The sequence below is a fragment of the Homo sapiens genome, chromosome 17, assembly GCF_000001405.40.
Source record: "Homo sapiens chromosome 17, GRCh38.p14 Primary Assembly".
Classification (NCBI taxonomy): domain Eukaryota; kingdom Metazoa; phylum Chordata; class Mammalia; order Primates; family Hominidae; genus Homo; species Homo sapiens.
This window is the reverse complement of record NC_000017.11, coordinates 80,671,438-80,691,930: the sequence shown is the minus strand read 5'-3', so window position 1 is coordinate 80,691,930 and position 20,493 is coordinate 80,671,438. Positions and strand designations below refer to the sequence as shown.

The 20,493-nt window shown below is 46.5% G+C and overlaps 1 protein-coding gene across 2 annotated transcripts in view, besides 2 other annotated features; it reads right to left on the bottom strand.

The window, feature by feature from the left end:
- The window catches only part of RPTOR (regulatory associated protein of MTOR complex 1), a 421,531-nt gene that overhangs the window by 274,438 nt on the left and 126,600 nt on the right, over positions 1–20,493 (bottom strand). The window lies entirely within an intron of this gene.
- Positions 14,668–15,192: an enhancer, noted in NCBI's record as "H3K27ac-H3K4me1 hESC enhancer chr17:78650539-78651063 (GRCh37/hg19 assembly coordinates)". NCBI's record gives its function as "activates a minimal SCP1, AML or CMV promoter by ChIP-STARR-seq in naive H9 embryonic stem cells {active_cell/tissue: H9 hESC(naive)}" and the evidence as "EXISTENCE:reporter gene assay evidence [ECO:0000049][PMID:30033119]".
- Positions 15,193–15,719: an enhancer, noted in NCBI's record as "H3K27ac-H3K4me1 hESC enhancer chr17:78650012-78650538 (GRCh37/hg19 assembly coordinates)". NCBI's record gives its function as "activates a minimal SCP1, AML or CMV promoter by ChIP-STARR-seq in naive H9 embryonic stem cells {active_cell/tissue: H9 hESC(naive)}" and the evidence as "EXISTENCE:reporter gene assay evidence [ECO:0000049][PMID:30033119]".

Sequence of the window (20,493 nt, the reverse complement as noted above, 5' to 3'; positions counted from 1 at the left end):
ACAATCTGAGCACTCCATGTGGAAAGAAGCAGATACAGCTGTAGGACCCATGAGAGTAAGCAGACCTTGCAGACCTGAACCTGGATGTGTAAGAGCGCCTTCGTATTTTATCTTTGAAACACCCATAGAGAAAGGGGGCTGAACAAGGGTCAATGAGCAGCCCTGGAGCCCAGATTAAGCTCTCCATACCACTTCCCATGGAAGGAAACCAAGACTCCCTGGAGACAGACACGTGGCTGATTTCAGGCCTAGGGTAGAAGAAGTACAAAATGGCACAGAACATGCTGGCTTGTCATACCATATCAAAATGAAGCAATTGAGGACCGCGAGAACTGCATCACAAGGCTCAGGGGCCAACACAAAGATGGAACGACGTGGACATCGGTGAAGAACGAATAGAGTAAGTCATGCATTCAATAGGGTGGCCACACACGCCACACCACACACACCTATGCGCACACACTGACATGCGTGCACACACACACATCACTCACATCCACACACACCCCCACACTAGTCACCTTTGAGAGATGCAGTGAGAAACGAATACAGTAGGTAGTGCCTTCAACAGGGTGGCCACACACACCACACCACACACATACCTATGCATGCACACACGTGCATGCACACACACACGACATGCACACACACATATCACACCCACACACCCCTTACTAGTCACCTTTGAGAGAAGCCCACACACGATTTTGAAAACTGGTTAATAAAGGAAAGTAAGTATTGATGCTGGCTTTCCTCTATGACTGTACCTTGAGCTATCCAAATAATTGATGAGAGGGTTTCTTTATATAGAGATACTCCAGTTAACAAATAAGGACAGCTAAGCACAGTGGCTCGTATCTGTAACCCCAGCACTTTGGGAAGCTGAGGCAGGAAGATTGCTTGAGGCCAGGAATTAAAAACCAGTCTGGGCAACATAGCAAAACCCTGTTTCTACAAGACATTTAAAAATTAGCAAGGCATAGTGTCATGTGCCTGTGGTCCCAGCTACTTGGAAGTCTCAGGTGGGAGGATCACTTGGGCCCGAGAATTTGAGGCTCCAGTGAGCCATGTTTGCGCCACTGCACTCCAGCCTGGGTGGCCAAGTGAGATCCCCTGTTGCAAAAAAAGGAATGAAACAATAACACCATCTTTTCATAATCTCTAATAAATAGATCCAGACAATGATCATCAATAGCTGCTAATATCACAGAGGGACTATCAGATATCCTAAAGTAAGGACACAGCACCACACATGAAACATTCCCTGACTGAACCAGAATCTAGGGGAGCCCGGCTGTGTCCACCACCGAGAGGAAATCCAAGGAGCAGAGGTGAGTGTGGCTCACCCAGGGCAAGGGGGGAGAAGCCACTGACGAGATCGAGACCACGATAAATTCTACAGGCTACATGATCCAGTTTCTTCAACCAATCAACTGCAGAAAGAGACAGGCAGACAGGTGCACAGAGAGTGCTGGGGTGAGGGACTGACTTTTGGATTAATTACATGGATTAACAGAATAGATGAAGTAACTCACAATACATTCATCTCACTTGCATCCTGATTCAAACAAACATTGTGTGTGTGTGTATGTGTGTGTGTGTGTTTAGAAGCATACTTATCTTTAGAGAAAGTAAATATTTCTTTCAGAAATATTGACAGGTGAAATTACATGAAGTCTGGGATTTGCTTCCTAATCAGCCAGGGGAGTGGGAAGGGGGGACTGGGTGGGGGCACAGATGAAAGGAGACTGGAACTGGCAGCTGAAAATGACTGAAGATAGATGATGGGTATATGTTGAAATTTTTCATAATAAAAAGTTTAAAAATAAACAAATGAATAAGCCATAAAAACAAATAAAGAAGCAAATGAGCAAACACGTTTGAAAATGTTTCAATGATTAAAAGACTCTCCCCTAGAATGCTTTTACATATAACTTAATGGTAAAGTAAAGTTTCCTACTTTAATTAGAATCTGCTTGCATGAAGCGTTTCTCCAAGGTGCAGCCAGACATTTTTAAAAGGTGTCCAGACAGGTAGAAATATTAAATGTGTTTTTAGCAAAGGTACACATACCAAAAATCTGAAAGATTATCATACCTAGAAAAATATGTTTTCTATTGAATAGGAGAATGCTTGAGGGCACTGATCAAAAATTTTAAAAATGAACATAAAGAAGGAAAGAAAAATATGTTTCATACGCGTAAAACACTGATAGTGATATGTCTCAGAAAGATCTTCTCCAGTCTTATAGACAAAAAGTATAATGATGGTGTAAGGTAGAATCAGCCTATGAATGGCCTCCAATTAGCTTTCTGACTTTTCGCTGCAGGTCAGCAAACATGGAGACCATGCTGTGCTTTTGCGCTTCCTCGCTAACTATCTGATGAAAGCCTGAAATCTAGTAAATTCCTCATAACAGCAATCCTTGGCGCTTACAAAGCACTTCTAGCCACATTATCTCCTCTGACCACATGCGTAAGACGAGGCCTCACTGCCCACACTCAGCAGAGGGCTCCAGCGATGGCTTCGGAAAGACGGATGTCAGGGAGCAGGTGGCGTCCTCCGCCCCTGCTACACCTAGAACTCTTCCCACGGGGGAGTGCATGGTTTCTGTGAGTACATAAATGATTTATCATGCGGACTCCAAGATGCAGATGCAACCTCTCTAGGAATAATGTTGCCAAGGGGAACATACAAGTGAATGTGTTCATCTGCTGACTAGCTTCTGGCTGTCTGGGGAGATGAAAGGATTTACTGACTTCATAAGGTAGTCCTGTCACTTTAAGAATGCTGCACAGACATACTCCATACATATGAAACCGTTTGATAAATGTTTAAAACACCTTAAGGTGCCATTTTTAGGCAAAGTCATATCCAAAATCAAAAATGCCCCTTCCTTGCACTTCAGTTTTATCTTGCAATTTATCAGAACGGCAACAGGGCAGCTGCCGTTCTGCAGGAGAGGCCACCTCTACCCCTTGAGGTGCCTTGTGTAAAGCAGAAAAAGGCACTCCCTCTGGGCAGACTCACTCGCCCACCAGGCTTGGGGTGGAAGGGCAGAGAGTCTGTGTTCCAACATGCGCCGGCCTGGGCCAGGCAGCAGCCCCAAGCTGGTCAGTGTCCTTGGAGTCGATTCCTGCCACTGCCCTAGAGATACATCTAGTTTAAATAACAGTAACCGCAAAATTAACAAAAAAGGGATGGAGCAGAGAGTAACACTGGCTGCCTCTACAGCTCACTTCTTCCCAGCCCGCATAGCACCGGAGATGCTTAAAGTGTCCCAGGCATCAAGTCAGGCCAGTGGAACCCACAGGAAGCCAGTGAAACAGTGTGCTCAAAGGAGAACGGCCGTCCCTTCTTCTTTCTCCCTTTGAGCACAACTGTGAGGCTGTGATGTTTGGAGTGGTGGCAGCCTTCTTGTCATCATGAGGGAAAAGTCAAGAACACAGAGAAACTTATCCAGAACCTGACAATACTGAACCATTTACCTTCAGACTTCTTGATAAACCTTTTAATTATTGATCCAGAGAGAAACGGTTGAGGGATGAACTTTGGACACACACAAAGCCCATGCTTATACCAGTTTTGTGACTTTAGCAAAGTCTTCACCTTCTTTGTGCCTCCGTTTCTTCGGCTATAAAATTGTGTGTGTTTGGGGCTGGGGGTGAAGGGAGTGGAGAGGATAGTGTCTAACTTCTAGTTTCTGTGAAGATTAAATGAGCTAATACATCAAAAGTCCTTTGACTAGTGCCTGGCTAACAGGCAGCAGTGCTACGTGAGTGTTCATAAATGTCACTTAACAGGCATCTGACTACTTATCAATAAAAGCATCCCAGTTAATTATTTCCCCCACTCAGGTACTCAACCGCCACTACATGCTTTGGGCTACAGCATGGAGACTGCTGAGTGGAGGTGGGTGTGGCCAGTGTGAAGCTAGCGGTGCTGAGGTGAAGCTTCAGGCAGTACCGGGACAAGAAGCCGGCCACATCTTTTGAGACAGGGGCCTGCAGGCGCTGACCTGGGTATGCCAGCGGCGATGGACAATGGAGGGTGAATTGAAGGCAGTGCGGGCATCCCATTTCTGAGCTTCCTACAACTCACTGTCGGCCTCACTGCATTTCACGTTTTAAAGCTTAAACACTACACGGTGAAGCTACGCCTCCATCTCAGGGAAGGGACGCTCTAAACAGGCAGCCTCGGAGATCATCAACACCCACGGTGCTGCCCCTTTCATTCCCCTTCTGAAGCCGATGACAACCATTCCGTGGCTGTGCTGTGGCACTCACTGTTCGCATTTCTCCACGCAGACACCGAGGTACAACACCCAGCTCAACACACACCAACGGGTGCCCACCAAGGGCAGAGCAGTGTGCTGGTGTGGGGCAGAGGCAGGGGAGACCCACTCACCGAATGAGTCCCTGCCTTTCATCAAACAATGACACAGAAAACAAGACCTGGACACAGATAGATACAGTGTGGGCAGATGCTAAGAGCACCGGAGGAAGAAGCTCAAAGACAGTGGTTCCTTGTGGACAAGTGACCAGTGGCAGAGTCCTGACAAACATGGGCTGAGTGGGACTGTGGCTCGATCAGATGACAATCTGAAGGAGCACCCCATGGTGCATGTGAGGGATGGTGTGGTGGGAGGAGAGACAGGAGAAAGAAACAGGAAGAGGGTAACGAAGAGCAAACGTGAACCAGGCTGGGAGGGTCAGAAGAAGACTAGACAGTGAGGAGAAGTGGGACGGACAGAACTCTCGGCAGAGAATGCGCCAGAGGCCTGCAGTGTAGGCGCTGGCCATTAGCACTTTGCCTGCAGAAAAGGGGCCTGCCCTGCAAAAACCCTGACCACAAAGCCCCAGTTATTAGGAGGCATTGCGTGGGGTGATGTATTTTGGTTATGGAAGACACAGACAGACAGATTCCACTCTCTGGTTACTGAACTGAAAGAACAAGAGTTTGCCATCAGCTCTGACTGGAACTGATAGATGCAATAAGCTGTGTGATTTTAACTCGCATGGCATCTGCTTTTAAGGCCTCCCATTAAAGTAAATCTCATTCAAGATTGAAAATAAATTTCATGGAAGGGTCCCAGGTCCAACAGCCTTACTCTGAAGCGCAGGTGCTCAGGACTCACACAGCTGGGCGAGGGGCTGGACCACTCATCCTCTCACAAAGCTGATTTTGTAAAAATCAAGCAAGTACCTCTTCATATTTAGTGGAGTGCTTGAGACACCGGCCTCGTTAGAAGAGAGCCTTTCTTTCCAGCCTTCCCAGGAAGAGCCCTTTCTAAGAGATGGATACGCTGCCGAGAACTCTGAATTATGCAGTAAGAAGTGTTTCAAGAGAGAATACCAATGAGTCCCGAAAGGCAAATACTGTAAATTTACCTTTCTCTTCATTCACGGGGAAGAAACATGGCTTTGTCGTGAGGGTAGAACTGCACTAGACAGTGACGCACTTAAGTCTCAGTTTTCTAATCTGTGAACTGGGAACAATGGTTGCGTCTACTTCAAAGGAGGTGTTATGCATCCTGGCTAACACGGTGAAACCCCGTCTCTACTAAAAATAAAAAAATTAGCCAGGCGTGGTGGCGGGCGCCTGTAGTCCCAGCTACTCAGGAGGCTGAGGCAGGAGAATGGCGTGAACCCAGGAGGCGGAGCTTGCAGTGAGCCGAGATCGTGCCACCGCACTCCAGCATGGGCGACAGAGCGAGACTCTGTCTCAAAAAAAAAAAAAAAAAGTTGTTATGAAGCTCAGGTGAGTTTATGCATAGCAAGTGCTGAGCCCCACATCTGGGCACAGGAAGACTCAGTGACCAGTGCTCTATAAACCATGGCCCATCCTCCCAATCCTTTATCTTAGAGACACGTAATCTCAAAAATGAACAGCACCAGATGGGTCGGAGGCCTGAATCCCTTCTAGAAAGCCTCTAACCATGCTTATGTCCCTCCAGGCACAGGATGACCCTGCCCTCTGCAGAGGCCACCAACACTGTCAGAAGAGCTCTGAGGACTGGAAAGTGCCCCCACCTGATGAGGAGAAATAGGGTTCTTGTCGGGCATTTCCGAGTGCTGCTCCCAGGACGACTCTGGGGGTCCATCTTACGCTTACGACTAGAGGGAGTTCAACAGCCAGAGGCAGCTGGGAAGAAGCTCAAAGGAAGCACCCCACGATGTGGGGAGTAGCAGCTGTCACTAGGAATTAAAAGTCGTGGAAATATAAATCATTCCATGAGGCAAATGGCAAAAGACATGTCAGATAATTCACAGCAAAAAAAAAAAAAAAAAAAAAAAAAAAAAATATATATATATATATATATATATATGGAAATGGCCCTGAATATACAAAAATATTAGCCAGGCACAGTGGGTCATACCTGTAATCCCAGCACTTTGGGAGGCCAAGGATGGAGGATCACTTGACCCCAGGAGTTCAAGTTAACATATCAAGACTCTATTCCTACATTAAAAAAAAAAATGTTTTAATTAGCTGGGCATGGTGGTACACGGCCGTAGTCCCAGCTACTCAGGAGGCTGAGGTGGGAGGGTCACTTGAACCCAGGAGGTCGAGGCTGTAGTGAGCCAAGATCACACCACTGCACTCCAGCCTGGGAGACAGAGCAATACCTCAACTCACTTACAATAAAAATAATTCAAATTAAAACTACACCGAGAGCATTTCTCATCTCCCAGACTGCACACACTGGCATACACTGAAAACGCAACAAGCGACCCTGAATGAGGGGTGACTCCGAATGAGGTGCGACCCTGAATGAGGGGCGACTCCGAATGAGGCGCTCTCCTATGTTGCCGAGGGGAATGGAAAAGGGTATACAATCCTGAGGTAGGAAGGGAATTTGACAATAACTAGAAAAAAACTACATACACATTTTTCCACCCAGTGATACTATAAATTTACCTTGAAGATACAGCCTTAATACAAAATACATCTGAACAAGGTTATACAATGCGGTATTATCTGTAATTGCAAAATGTTACAATGTTAAGATGTTGACTCACGTAATGAAGTGCCATACAGCTCTCAAAAAAGGAAGAGAAAGTCCCTAGAAACTGACATGGAGTGATTTCCAGGACACGCTGTGTAGTGGCAAAAAGCAGAGTGCAGAGGAGCATACCTAGTATACTATCTTGCCATGTAAGAGCAGGATATAAGAAAATAACATGGCTGGGCGCAGTGGCTCACGCCTGTAATCCCAGCACTATGGGAGGCCGAGGTGGGTGGATCACGAGGTCAGGAGATCGAGACCATCCTGGCTAACACGGTGAAACCCCATCTCTACTAAAAAATACAAAAAATTAGCCGGGTGTGGTGGTGGGCGTCTGTAGTCCCAGCTACTCGGGAGGCTGAGGCAGGAGAATGGCGTGAACCCGGGAGGAGGAGCTTGCAGTGAGCCGAGATCACACCACTGCAACTCCAGCCTGGGCGGCAGAGCGAGACTATGCCTCCAGAAAAATTAAATAAATAAATAAATAAATAAATAAATAAATAAATAAATAAATAAACATGTATCTCCTTATTTAAAAAAAAAAGAAAGACAAGATATGCCTGAAAGTAATGAAACACAAGGCAGCCTGGAAACAGGATTGGGGAGATGACATGACTCTAGCTTTATACAGTTTTGACTTGCAGAACCACATTAATAACTTACATACTCATAAAAGAAGAAATAAGCAAGGATAAGAGAGCCCTGCAACGGAACAGAATACAAACTAAACACGTGAACTTGAGTACAGTGCAAATAACAGCCCGGAACAGAGGGGACAAAGCCCACCCAAGTAACTCTGACCATGGCATCTACACCTGACTCCACCCCTCAGTCCACAGGCAGAAAATAACTGGGAACAGATAGTGAATTCACGTGAGAAAGTTTGTTTACGATGGTACGAGACGGCAATTCTGAATTTACTTCCTGTGTATTGTGGCACCAGGCAACTGAGCGGCATGTTGAGGATGAGGGAGTCAATGCCAGGAGCCGACATCTTGGCTTCTAAGTCCCATTCTGTAGAAAAGGAACCAGGGCTCCTTGGAAACGTGGCTGATGCCAGGACTTGAGCCATGCGGGTAGAATATGAGGCTGCTCCACCTTGTCGTGCCTGAAAGCAAGGAATTGCTCAACAGTGAAGAGAACACATAAAACACATGGACAGGAGTGAGCTTGGAGGGTGGCAGCGAAATCAGGGACAACTGGAGCATCAAAATAAACAATGACAGTAGCAGATGATTGATGGGATAAAATAAGAATTTATTTTAGAATGATATAAAGGAATGAATGAAGGAATGAATGGGGGCGAAGGGAAGAAAAACATACAATCAGAAAACCAGCATTTGGCAACCATCACGATCATAACTGATGTGGGCAAGAATTATCCATGGTTGCAAAACCAGCACAAGGAACAGGGTAGGCACAGAGCCAGAGTCCTTATTACTTACAAAGGGAAAACAACTCCGCAGCGGAGAAATGTGGGGACGCCATCTTAATCAAGGTCAAAATGAGTATGGCCAATCATGGGACAAAATGCCATCAGCACCTCCGACAGCACCTGAGGAAGCCCCAGTATCACTTCTGCAGCCCTCCTGCCACAGATGCTTGCCCTGCTCTTGTCGGGAGAAGACAGGAGGAAAACGCAAACTGAGGATTAGAACTGAACTGGCCCGCATCCTTCAAAAATGGCCAGACTGAGAAAGCAAAGCTGAGGAGGATGAAGTGCCATCAAAAAGCCGTGTGTAGTCCGGGGTCCGCTCCCAGGCCAGTGCGGAGGCTGCCACAGACGGAGCTGAAACAACTGGCTAAGAAATGAATTCGATCAGCTGAGCGCTTGGCTCGCGCCTGTAATCCCAGCAGTCTAGGAGGCCAAGGCAGGAGGATGGCTTGGTTCCCAGGAGCTCAAGACCGGCCTGGACAACATGTTGAAACCCCATCTCTACAAAAAATAAATAAATTAGCTGGGTGTAGTGGTACGTGCCTGTGGTCCCAGCTACTCAGGAGGCTGAGGCAGGAGAATCACTTGAGCCCAGGAGTTCAAGGCTGCAGTGAGCTATGATGGATCACACCACTGCACTCCAGCCTGGGGAACACAGCAAGACGCTATTTTTCTTTTTTTTAAGAAAAAAAAAGGAAACAAATTAGAACACAGGACTGAATCAATGTTATATTTCCTAATTTTGATAAATGTACTGTGGTTATGTAAGAGAAAGTCCTTGTTCTCAAACTCTATAGACTCAAGTATTCATGCAAAATCACTAAGTCAGCAGGGCCACGCTCCCTCTGGAGGCCCTGGGGCAAATCCATTCCGGCCTCTTCCAGTTTCTGGTGGCCGTGGGCACGCCTCGGTGTTCCTTGGCCTGTGGCCACATCACTCCCAGCTCTGCCTCAGTCTTCACATGGCCTTCTCTTCTGTCTGACTCAAAGCTCCTCTGCTTCTCACTCATAAGGACACCCGTGATTACATCTAGGGCTCACTCAAATAATCCAAGATAAGCTCTCCCTCTCAACAACCTTAACCTGGCTGGGTGCAGTGGCTCACACCTGTAATCCAGCACTTTGGGGCTGAGGCAGGCAAATGGCTTGAGTCCAGGAGTTCAAGACCAGCCTGAGTTACATAGGGAGACCCCTGACTTTACAAAAAAATTTAACAATTAGCTGGGTGTGGTGGCGCAGGTCTGTAGTTCTAGATACTTGGGAGGCTGAGGTGGGAGGATGGCTTGAGCCCAAGAGGTCGAGGCTGCAGCGACCCATGATTGCACCACTGTACTCCAGCCTGGATGACAGAGCGAGACTTTGTTTGGGGTGGGGGGGGGGACCTAATCACATCTTTCACCACATGAGGTAATATTCACAGGTTCCAGAAAATATGATGTGGCTAATCTTTTGGGGGGCCAACGGTCAGCCTGCTACATCATTTTAAAGAACTGATAAGATTATATCACATCAAATACAGGAAGATTCCACATCATTTACCAATATTCTAATACACCGAGAGAATATTTAGACAAATTCATTCTTCCTCAGTGTTCATGACAGGAGAGATTGTAACTACGTTTATTATCTAATTTTTCAGCCAAATATTTAAGAATCAAATGAAATTCAACCTCAAGAAGGTGTAAGAGACGTACACCTCATGAAGGTGTAAGAGACGTACACCTCATGAAGGTGTAAGAGACGTACACCTCATGAAGGTGTAAGAGACGTACACCTCATGAAGGTGTAAGAGACGTACACCTCATGAAGCTGTAAGAGACGTACACCTCATGAAGGTGTAAGAGACGTACACCTCATGAAGGTGTAAGAGACGTACACCTCATGAAGGTGTAAGAGACGTACACCTCATGAAGGTGTAAGAGAACTAGAAATGTTGAACCACACACACAGAATTGGTCCTCGATACCGCACCACCGGCCTTCCCTACACTCCCCGCAGCACTCGAGAACTCACCCACAGCGCGAGGTGCCCCTGAACTGTCACCTGCCAGGGACAGCAGCGGCATGAGGAATGCACACAGCACGCACGCACTCTAGCAGGGCAGTGTGAGGACGGAACGAGAGCCGCGGCCCCGCAACTTTCTGCCATGAGGCCCAGACAGCACCAGTGTTTCCACAACTCAGGCACTCTGCTCTTTATTTAGTTTCAGGTGACTCTAAAAGATGCTCTTTTCCTAGGAGTTATCGATCTGAATAAAAAAATAAAGCGAGACACTCCACTGCCAGCATTTGGAGGTGGTGTTTTGCTGACTGACACTAACTGGCCTCCGCAGAACACGTGGCAGGTGCTAAAGAGAAGATGCCAAACCAACCCCTCCCTCCATGAGCCTGGACTCCAGTGCGCCAGGCCCCTCACCTCTGTCAAACCCATGCATGCCTTGAAGCCCCGTCCTGAGTGGCTGTCTCCCCTGTATTGACAATGAGCCTCACGGGCTCCCTCTCCTCTTCCGCCTGTGTGTTTGCTGTTGTCTCCTGGTGAAAACCAAATGCCAGCTGAACACGAAGGCCACATTTCAAAGCCCATCTGCTGGGTCTAGAGAGGGTCCATGTAACCTGTTCACAGACGAGCCCAGCACATACGTGCGACGTGGGATTTTATACGCGGATCTTTGCCTCGGCACGCAGGACCACTTGCAAAGGAGCTGTATTTCTCCTCTGTCACTAACTAAATCCCCTGGGATGCAGCATACAAGATGCAATATGTCACTCATTGGCTGATCTAACAATTTATCTAACAAACAGGGAGCCCTGAGTATTTTCTAGGCATGGTTCTGAGTTTTTGTCTGTTTGTTTGTTTTTTGAGACAGAGTCTCACTCTGTTGCCCAGGCTGAAGTGCAGTGGCTCAATCTTGGCTCACTGCAACCTCTGCCACCTGGGTTCAAGCGATTCTCCTGCCTCTCCTGAGTAGCTGGAATTACAGGCACCTGCCACTGCGCCCAGCTAATTTTGTATTTTTAGTAAAGATGGGATTTCACCATCTTGGCCAGGCTGGTCTTGAACTCCTGGCCTCATGATCCACCTACCTGGGCCTCCCAAAGTGCTGGGATTACAGGCTTGAGCCACCGTGCCCTGCTGATTCTGAGTATTTTAACAAACCCCCTTCAGAGGCACAGCACCATCATCCTGTCATTCTCTTCTAGGATTCCAGTTAGAACGGAATAAGTCAACAAGAAAGAAAGGGGGTTCTAGACTTGAGATGGGGCTGAGGTGAGACAATGAACAGGGAGTCTGAGGTGCAGGGCTGGAGTTCTGGTGAGAAGATGTGCCTGGAGGAAGAGAGCAGGAGCCTGGCAGTCTGAGGTCCTGCACAGAAGAGCCAGCAGGCTGAGGAGGGCAAGAGGAAAAACAAGTAACTGTGACCCACTTGGGGGTCTTGGCCCTGACCGAGAACTGGAGGTTCCTCTCCAGGACAGGGACCATGGGGGCTCCATCCCTCTCTCTGGACTCTGGGGGAGGTCTTCCTCTCCAGGACAGGGACCATGGGGCTCCCTCCGCCTCTCTGGGCTCTGGGGAACCGTGGAGAGGACACCTCACCCAGCCTGGGAGTGGAATTGTTAACCCTGCCTCTTGAGATGCTGGAAGAATTGGGAAGAAGAGAAAGCAGAGAAAGGAAGGCTGTGTAACTGACAAGATCTGGGCATACTTGAGGCAGAACTTTGAATGACAACAGCTAAACTGAGCTTCAAATAAATACATAAATATTAATTCTGAAGACACTTCAACTCCTTACAGCTATAAACTATTTATGGTTTACTTTTTCACAACCTGCCTTTTTCAAAACAGGATTTAAGTTAGTAAATAAGCTATTCTCAGAATAATAAAAATTTAAAGTTTGCAGGCTCAAAAAATAAGCTAAGAGAAACAAAAAGGGAGGGAAAAATGACAGAAATTCTTAAGTTTAAATGCATTCAAACGGGCCTGTAAAGGCATCTTACTATTCCTGAGCCGAGTAAAAAGGAAACGAAAACTTAGAGTAACATGATTAACCACCACCCCCCAAAAATCTTTTCTACGAGGTGAGGAATGAGGAGAACGTGGCTGTGCGGAAGCCTCTTTCCTCCCGCCCTGTGCCTGAGCCAGCCGACTGCCCTCCAGGAAGTGAGCCTAGCCGTCAATTCACAAAAGACCTGCCTTTCTTTTTTTGTTTTTGGAGATGGGAGTCTCACTCTGTCACCCAGGCTGGAGTGCAGTGGCACAATCTCGGCTCACTGCAACCTCCACCTCTGGGGTTCAGGCCATTCTCTGCAACTTCCGCCTCCCGAGTTCAGGCAATTCTCCTGCCTCAGCCTCCCGAGTAGCTGGGATTACAGGTAGCCGCTGCGCCCGGCAGAGACCTGCCTTTCATGCAGAGGAAAGAAAGGGGATAAGGAGTAATCAATAATGGACAGTGTGAATAATCAGAAGAAGCAGAGGCCACTTCTTGTGAAGAGCGAGAGAAATGCCCTGGAAGAGAAACGAAGCCACTGTTGGAATAAAACAAACACAAACATCGCCCCCACCCCACACAGCAGTGAAAGCCACTGGCTTGTCGGGCATGGACAGCAGAGGGCTGCGATGACACACACAGACAGAGAGCATCTCTGGAGGGCCCCAATCCACGCACACTGAGGAGTCACTGAACCGGAAAGATCGCAAGTGACTCAACACCACGATACTGCAATCCCAGGGCGCCGCTCCTTCCACCTTCTTCATGCATTATTTAAAAACCCAAGAACCAACAAACAACTGCACAATCTGAAGTTAGAAAACGTGAATGGGTGACTGTCTATTCTGAGTCAGGCGTTGCTCTGGCTCAAGTATAAACAGGCATAACCACTGCTTTCCTTTCTTAATTTTTATCTTGAAATAATTTTAGATATTCAGCAATGTTGCAAAGCTAGTACACATGGCCTTAACCCAACATGCCCGACCATTAGGTCTTACATAACAATAGTATAATTAACGAGACCAGAAACTCATTTGTACAATACTATTTGTTTGTTTTTTGTAGAGAAAGGGTTTTGCCATGTTGCCCAGGCTGGTCTCGAACTCCTGGGCTCAAGCCATCTGCCTGCCTCAGCCTCCCAAACTGCTGGGATTATAGGCATGAGCCACCACACCCAACCTGTGGTTGTCCCTGTCTACAGGACACTAAATTTCCCCTGCTGATTCTTCTTCCTTTCGCCATCCACCCATATGTCAAAAGGTCCTTCTCCTTCCTTTTTGTCTTTTTCTGCTGCAAACTTGTACCTATAATTTTCTGTCAACTACCTACAACCCAAGGTGGACAGAGCCTTGTGGTAGTGGGGAGATGGAGAACATCAGGAATTCCATGTTGGATTGGGTGTTACCTCTTTTTACGATTTTCAAGTTGGAGTATATTGTGTCTTTCACACTGAGGACATGGCTTTTACAAAGTTTACTTTTCTCCTTCTTGTTCTTCTACATTATTCTGGAGGAAATACTTTGGAGACAGGAACCTAAGACACAACCATTTCATCAGCTACCTGGAAGTCCCCATCCCTTATTTTCTAGAAGACTAGAGACCAGTGAGCAATACTGATATCAATCCTGCTACCACGATCATCGCAACAACACACCATACAGTTGAAGACAATGATGGAGTAGGAATCATATCCTGTGAAAGAATAAAGGAGTAGATCTTTCTTGGGGTTTATTTTGTTATTCTTTTGTAAGGTAGAAAGGATTAAGGATTTAGGAACAGTTTCCAAAGAAAATGACATCAACAGCAAGACTCGATGCATGAATAGAATTTAACAAGTTGAGGAAGAGAAAACTGCCCAGCAAACGCCTGAAAAGGTGGAACACACTGAAATGTCAGCAGTCAGGCTGCAGTCTGGTGAGAGGGAAGGTGGGAGGTGAGGCTGGAGTCTGGTGGGAGGTGAGGCTGGAGTCTGGTGGGAGGGAAGGTGGGAGGTGAGGCTGTGGTAGAGAGCAGGGACCAGATCAAAAGCAATTTTTCCTCCCAGGTAAAGAGTTTAGACTTTGTACTGGGGCCAACGAAAAGCTGTTAAAATGCTTTAAGCAGGCCAAAATCCCTCTCAAATGAAACCTAGAATGTCTCCAGAGTGGAGAGCAAGTGCCAAGTTTAGGAATTACTGTTCAGTTTTTGGGTTACACTTTCTTTACTGCACTTCAAAGACATGGAGAAGAGTTATGACAGCTGAAGAGCATAGAATTGAAGCATAGATTGTGTCTCTCAGAGCACACTGTCAAAGGCAAACGTTAACATGGCAGTTAAAAAAGAGGTATATTCACTGCTAAAGATGAGAAAATGATTATTTTTCTTATCACAATAAGAGCTCATCACAATAAACAACCAAAAGAACAACATGGCATAATGCAACAGCGTGCCCCTGAGAGCAGCCTTCCCGCCCTCCCAGGTCCACTGGCACGAGGCAGTACCTGCTCAGGAGGTGGGAACCGAAGTCCCTCACCTTTCTATATGTTTGGGTTTCCGGGATCTACCTGAAACTGATTATTAAAATACAGCTCTCCCCCACACGGGTGACTTTATGTCAGATGAGGCGGCACTAGGTAAAGGCCACCAGGCTGCAAATCAGGATGCCTGGTCCCGCTGTGCCCTGGCTAGCGATGAGCCCTGCACCTCCCTGACTCTGTTCTCCATGAAATACACAGGGACAGAGCCTGAGGCCACTGAGGCCTGCCCGGTTCTGCTGCAGTGGGGACCGCAGTTCAGCCACCACGCAGGCTTCCAGGCCTGGAGAAGCAGCCACCCTGCTACTTTACTTTTGGTTGCAGTTAATTAGCTAATGCTCCACCTCAAAATCCAACTGTATGCAGTATTCCGACCCTGCAGACCCCTCCAGATGCTGGCACACCCGGTCCAGCCTCACTCACTGCGGAGACAGGGCACTGGGTGCAGAGGCACCCAGGAGCTGGTGCTGCCTCATCTGCCCTCAAGTGTCAATTCCAAGACGACCCACAGCGCTGATGTCCAGAGGTCCCGGGGGCCCTGATGCCTGGTGCTGGCTACCCCGGAACAGAAGAGCTGCTGGTTTCTTGACACGCTGGCCATTTTGTTTCTTTTGATACTATTTCTGAACTGTCATTTAAATCAATAGCCGGGGGTGACTCCATCTACACAGTGATTCACTTCCCTCAGAAACTTTTACATTTAATCAAATCCCATTCGCCATTCATCTTTACTTAACCACTTCTAACCTACTGGAACTTTCCATATCGATAAAGCAGCAGTAGGACATTACCATTTTGCATAAACACGACAAACTCCTTAGCCTCACACTAAGCAAAGGCTTGCTGACCTATCAATTTCCAGAATTACCTTCAATTCTTAGTAAACAAAACTATCCACCTAATGCGTATAATAATTTATCACCAGAAATGGCTACACTTGATACTAGACACTCAGCTACATTTTCTATTTCTTTCAGAATTGTCTGCTTGTACACCTTTCAGATTTTGTGATTTAGTGAAATTCACACTCTCAAAAGTATTTCATCATACCTCTTAAGAGTAGGCTCTTGAAGAAACAAGCAAGGAAATCACATCTGCGGTAATAAAAAGACCACAAGCACAAAATGTCCAGCAATGTGGTGGATTCAGGCTCCAGGTTCCTCTCACTAACAAGTGAAAATGCTTGGAGGTGGGGGGCAGACAAGCAGGCAGGGGCACGTTCTGAAATTCACGGATGTGCTGGTGTGAGAGCAGTGAAGCTGGGGCCAGCCCGGTGAGCAGAGCAGCCGGGTTCTGCGGGCCCGAGCCCGGTGAGCAGAGCAGCCGGGTTCCGCGGGCCTGAGCCCATGAACTGGAGTGGGGCGTTGCAGTCATGGGCGGCCTGAGGGGCAGGAGGCAACGCCCAAGGCCCGTGCTGGCATGGTGTCTGAGGGAGGGCATCCCTCCAGAAGAGTGGGTGTGCAGAGGGCTGCAGACGCAGAGCAAGGTTTACCCGAAAGTAAACCCACCCCACCGGGGCACTGCAAGGAAAAGTTTCTGCCCCTCAGCCTAGTAATAAACAGAGAGGAGGGATGGCTGGCCTTGACCCGGGTGTGATAGAAAACCTCAGACTGTCAGGACCTGTAAGCACTTGATAGAAGCAAACTTCATAGTCCTAAAAGAAGCCAACTTCATCCCAAGCTTCAAAGATTTCACATACTTCAATTTCAAAGGAAAATAACTGTCAAAATTTAAAAGGACATTAGGAAACAGGCACCATGACGAACAGCCAACAAAAACTGTAGCTGAATCAGATACAAAAAGACTTCAGACATCCAAATCAGAAATAAATAACTATACAGAATTTGTAAGAAAAAAAACAACTTAAAATGAAAATGGAAAGGCTTCAAAACAGACTGGACATAGCTGAACAAAGAATCTGCGAACTGAGAATCATCCTAAATCTCCAACACTCTCACAGCTTCTCACAGCGTGTCTCCTGCCCTTCTGAAGCCAGGGGTGACTGAGTCCTAGTTGGAAGCAACTGGTCACCTGAGTATTCTACCTCCACGTCAGGACGATTCATTTCCATATTCTTAGTGTATATTTGATCATATCCCAAGATGGGTGGTATTGTCATTTACAAAAGTGTCTTGATCTTGTTAGACCTTATGTTGAGAAGTTGTTTTTTTTTTTTTTTTTTTTTTTTTTTTTTTTTTTTTTGAGACAGAGTCTTGCTCTGTTGCCCAGGCTGGAGTGCAGTGGCGCTATCTCGGCTCACTGAAAGCTTCGCCTCCCAGGTTCATGCCATTCTCCTGCCTCAGCCTCCCAGGTAGCTGGGACTACAGGCGCCGGCCACCAATTTAGAACCAATTCAGAAGGATTACAGAAAACTCCAAAGCAAATGCATTCTCTTCTGGGCGTGGTGGCGAGATTTTAGCTAAGCTCAGGTAGAAAAGAAGAAACTCAGCATCAGCCAGGATGGCGCCTATGCCAGAGGCTGTTCGTTTTCCCCAGTATCCACCCCACCCTTCCATAACTAGAATCCCCAGTTCTTCATTTGCACACAGGGTCACCTAGATATTTTCCAGCCTCCCTGTGAAAGTGCTGAGTGTAACTTTTAAGAAACATCCTTAAAGGAAAACAGTGGGGTCTTCTTCCCTACTTCTTCTTTCCGGAAAGGTGAAATGTACAAAGGGTTTTCATGTTCAAGAAAAAAAACTATGCACGTACTTCAAAAAACATTTTGCCCCAAAATAAACTTATACTAACTTGTTCCATAACATGTGTAAACAGGATCTAGTTTGAGACAGTAAGAAGGATAAGATATTAGTTTGAAAGGAGCCCTTATCAGAGCAACACAAATTCCGCTAAAATTGAAGCAAGAACAAACATCAAGTTTATAATGAACCTTGGGTGGGAGAATGGTGAAATCATTGGTGCTTTACAAAAAGTTGATGGGGGCAATGCACCAAAGAAATCAGTAGTTTTCAAGTGGACAATTAATTTTAAGGAGGGCCAAGATGATGACACTCTCAGTGGCAGACCAACCACACCAATTTGCAAGGCAAGACTTCATCTAGTTCATGCCCTAAGTGAAGAGGACTGACAATTAACAACACAAACAACAGCCAGTATCACAGACCTCTCCATCGCGCTTACACAATTCTGACTGAATAATTACAGTTGAGCAAACTTTCCATTTGATGGCTGCCAATGCTGCACTCAGATGAGCTGCAGACCAGAGCAGAGCTTTAGACAGAAATCTCAAACAAATGGGGTCAAGACCCTGAAGGATTTCTTTGAAGAATTGAAACAGGAAATGAAACACGACTTTCCCAGCAGATCCTGAAGACAAACCACAATCAAAGCGCCGGCTACCAAGAAGTGGCTCCATCAAAGCAAGAGCAATCTGGATGACAGCGAAGGTCACGGCAACCGCTCTTTGAGATGCTCAAGGCATTTTGCTTGTTGGCTTTCTGGAGGCCAAACAACGATGACAGCTGCTTGTTACGAGTGTTTGAGAAAGCCTAAGCTTGAGCAGAAAAATGCCCAGGAAAGTGTCACCAGGGAGCCCCCTCCACCTCCACAGTGATAACAGTGCTCCTGCTCATTGCTCGCATCCAAAACAAGCATCCAACAAGGGGAACTTTGTGACAGTTTTCATGGGAAACAATCATTAAAAATCTGCCTTACAGTCCTGATTTGGCTCCTTCTGACTTGTTTGTTTCCTAATCTTTAAAAAATCTTTACAGGAAACGTATTTTTCCTTCTGTTAATAATGTAAAAAGAGGGCTGGGCGTGGCGGCTCACACCTATAATCCCAGCACTTTGGGGAGGCCAATCACCTGAGGTCAGGAATTTGACACCAATCTGGCCAACATGGTGAAACCGCATCTCTACTAAAAATATAAAAATTGGCCAAGCGTGGTGGCACACGCCTATAATCCCAGCTACGTGGGAGGCTGAGGCATGAGACTCGCTTGAACCCGGGAGGTGGAGGTTGCAGTGAGCCAAGATTGCACCACTGCACTCCAGCCTGGGTGACAGAATGAGATTCTGTCTCAAAAAATAAAATAATGTAAAAAGACTGTATAGACACAGTTAAACTCCTAGAACCCTCCGTTCTTTAGGGACAGATTAAATGGGTGGTATCGTCATTTACAAAAGTGTCTTGATCTTGTTAGACCTTATGTTGAGAAGTCTGTTTGTTTGTTTTTTGAGACAGAGTCTCGCTCTGTCGCCCAGGCTGGAGTGCAGTGACGCGATCTCGGCTCACTGAAAGCTTCACCTCCCAAGTTCACGCCATTCTCCTGCCTCAGCCTCCAAAGTAGCTGGGACTACAGGTGCCTGTCACCACACCCGGCTAATTTTTTCTGTTTTTAGTAGAGACAGGGTTTCACTGTGTTAGCCAGGATGGTCTCGATCTCCTGACTTCGTGATCTGCCCGCCTCGGCCTCCCAAAGTGCTGGCATTACTACAGGCGTGAGCCACCGCGCCTGGCTGAGAAGTTTGTTTTTTATTTTTATCTTTTAATTCTTTTTTTGCATGAACTTTTTGAAGTCCCCTCATATATGCAATGGCTGGAGCTTGAGCAGCCATCTTGGACAATGAGGTAACCATTTAAAAAAAAAAAAAAAAAAAGAACCTTTGCACAGCAAAGTAAACATAGGAGGAGCCCGAGGCCTTGCTATGCTGGAGCACTAAACAGCCTTGGAATGACTACTTCTAGGGAATCTTAATGTGAGTGAACAAACTTTAATTTGAGTTACACAATTGTTATTTCCTCTCCCCTGTAACTCTCAGCCAAACCTAATCTTTATACTGTGAGCATAAAGAGATCTTAACCTGACCTTCACAGAGGAGGTATCCAGGGCCACTGTTCCTCTCCAGTATCCGAGTCAGAACACTTCGTAATATAGTATCTGCTCAAAAACTTACCTTGTGATATTAGCCCTTTCTTTAAAATAAAGATAAATCAACCTACGAACCATTGTATTTTAAAAAGAAGCAATAGATTCAATGTACAATGGAAATAGCTACTGGCACCTAGCCAGGGACATTTAATGCTACAACAGCTACTTGGAAATTAAGCCTCCAGTTATATATTAAACAATGACAATAATTGCCTCCTTCAAAAATTCCACGGTCATCTTTGTGCGCAAAGAACACCACGCACACCACAATCCTTTTCCCCTACTGGTTACACCTATTTCAAAACTGAGAAGGTGATTCTACTGCCAAATGGAATGACTAGTGACCAGAAGACCATAGGTCAGCCTAGAAAGAAAAGGAAGGCTGCAGATGGCATGCCTGGAGAAGTGTGCTCACTTCTCCAGTAAGCCCCAGGTTCCCTCACAACTATGCAAAGCTGCTTCTCTTACCATTATTTGAAGGATTTTTGAAAGTATCCCCCTTGTAATATGAGTGGACCCCCTTCCCCAACCGACTTAAGTTCTTTTTTAAAGGAATGCTAATCTGTCGAAAATCGTTACAAAAACATGACTTGTGCCTGCAGTATTCTACTCAGCACTATTGACAGAGAGGGCAAATAGACACATCAAATGTCAAGA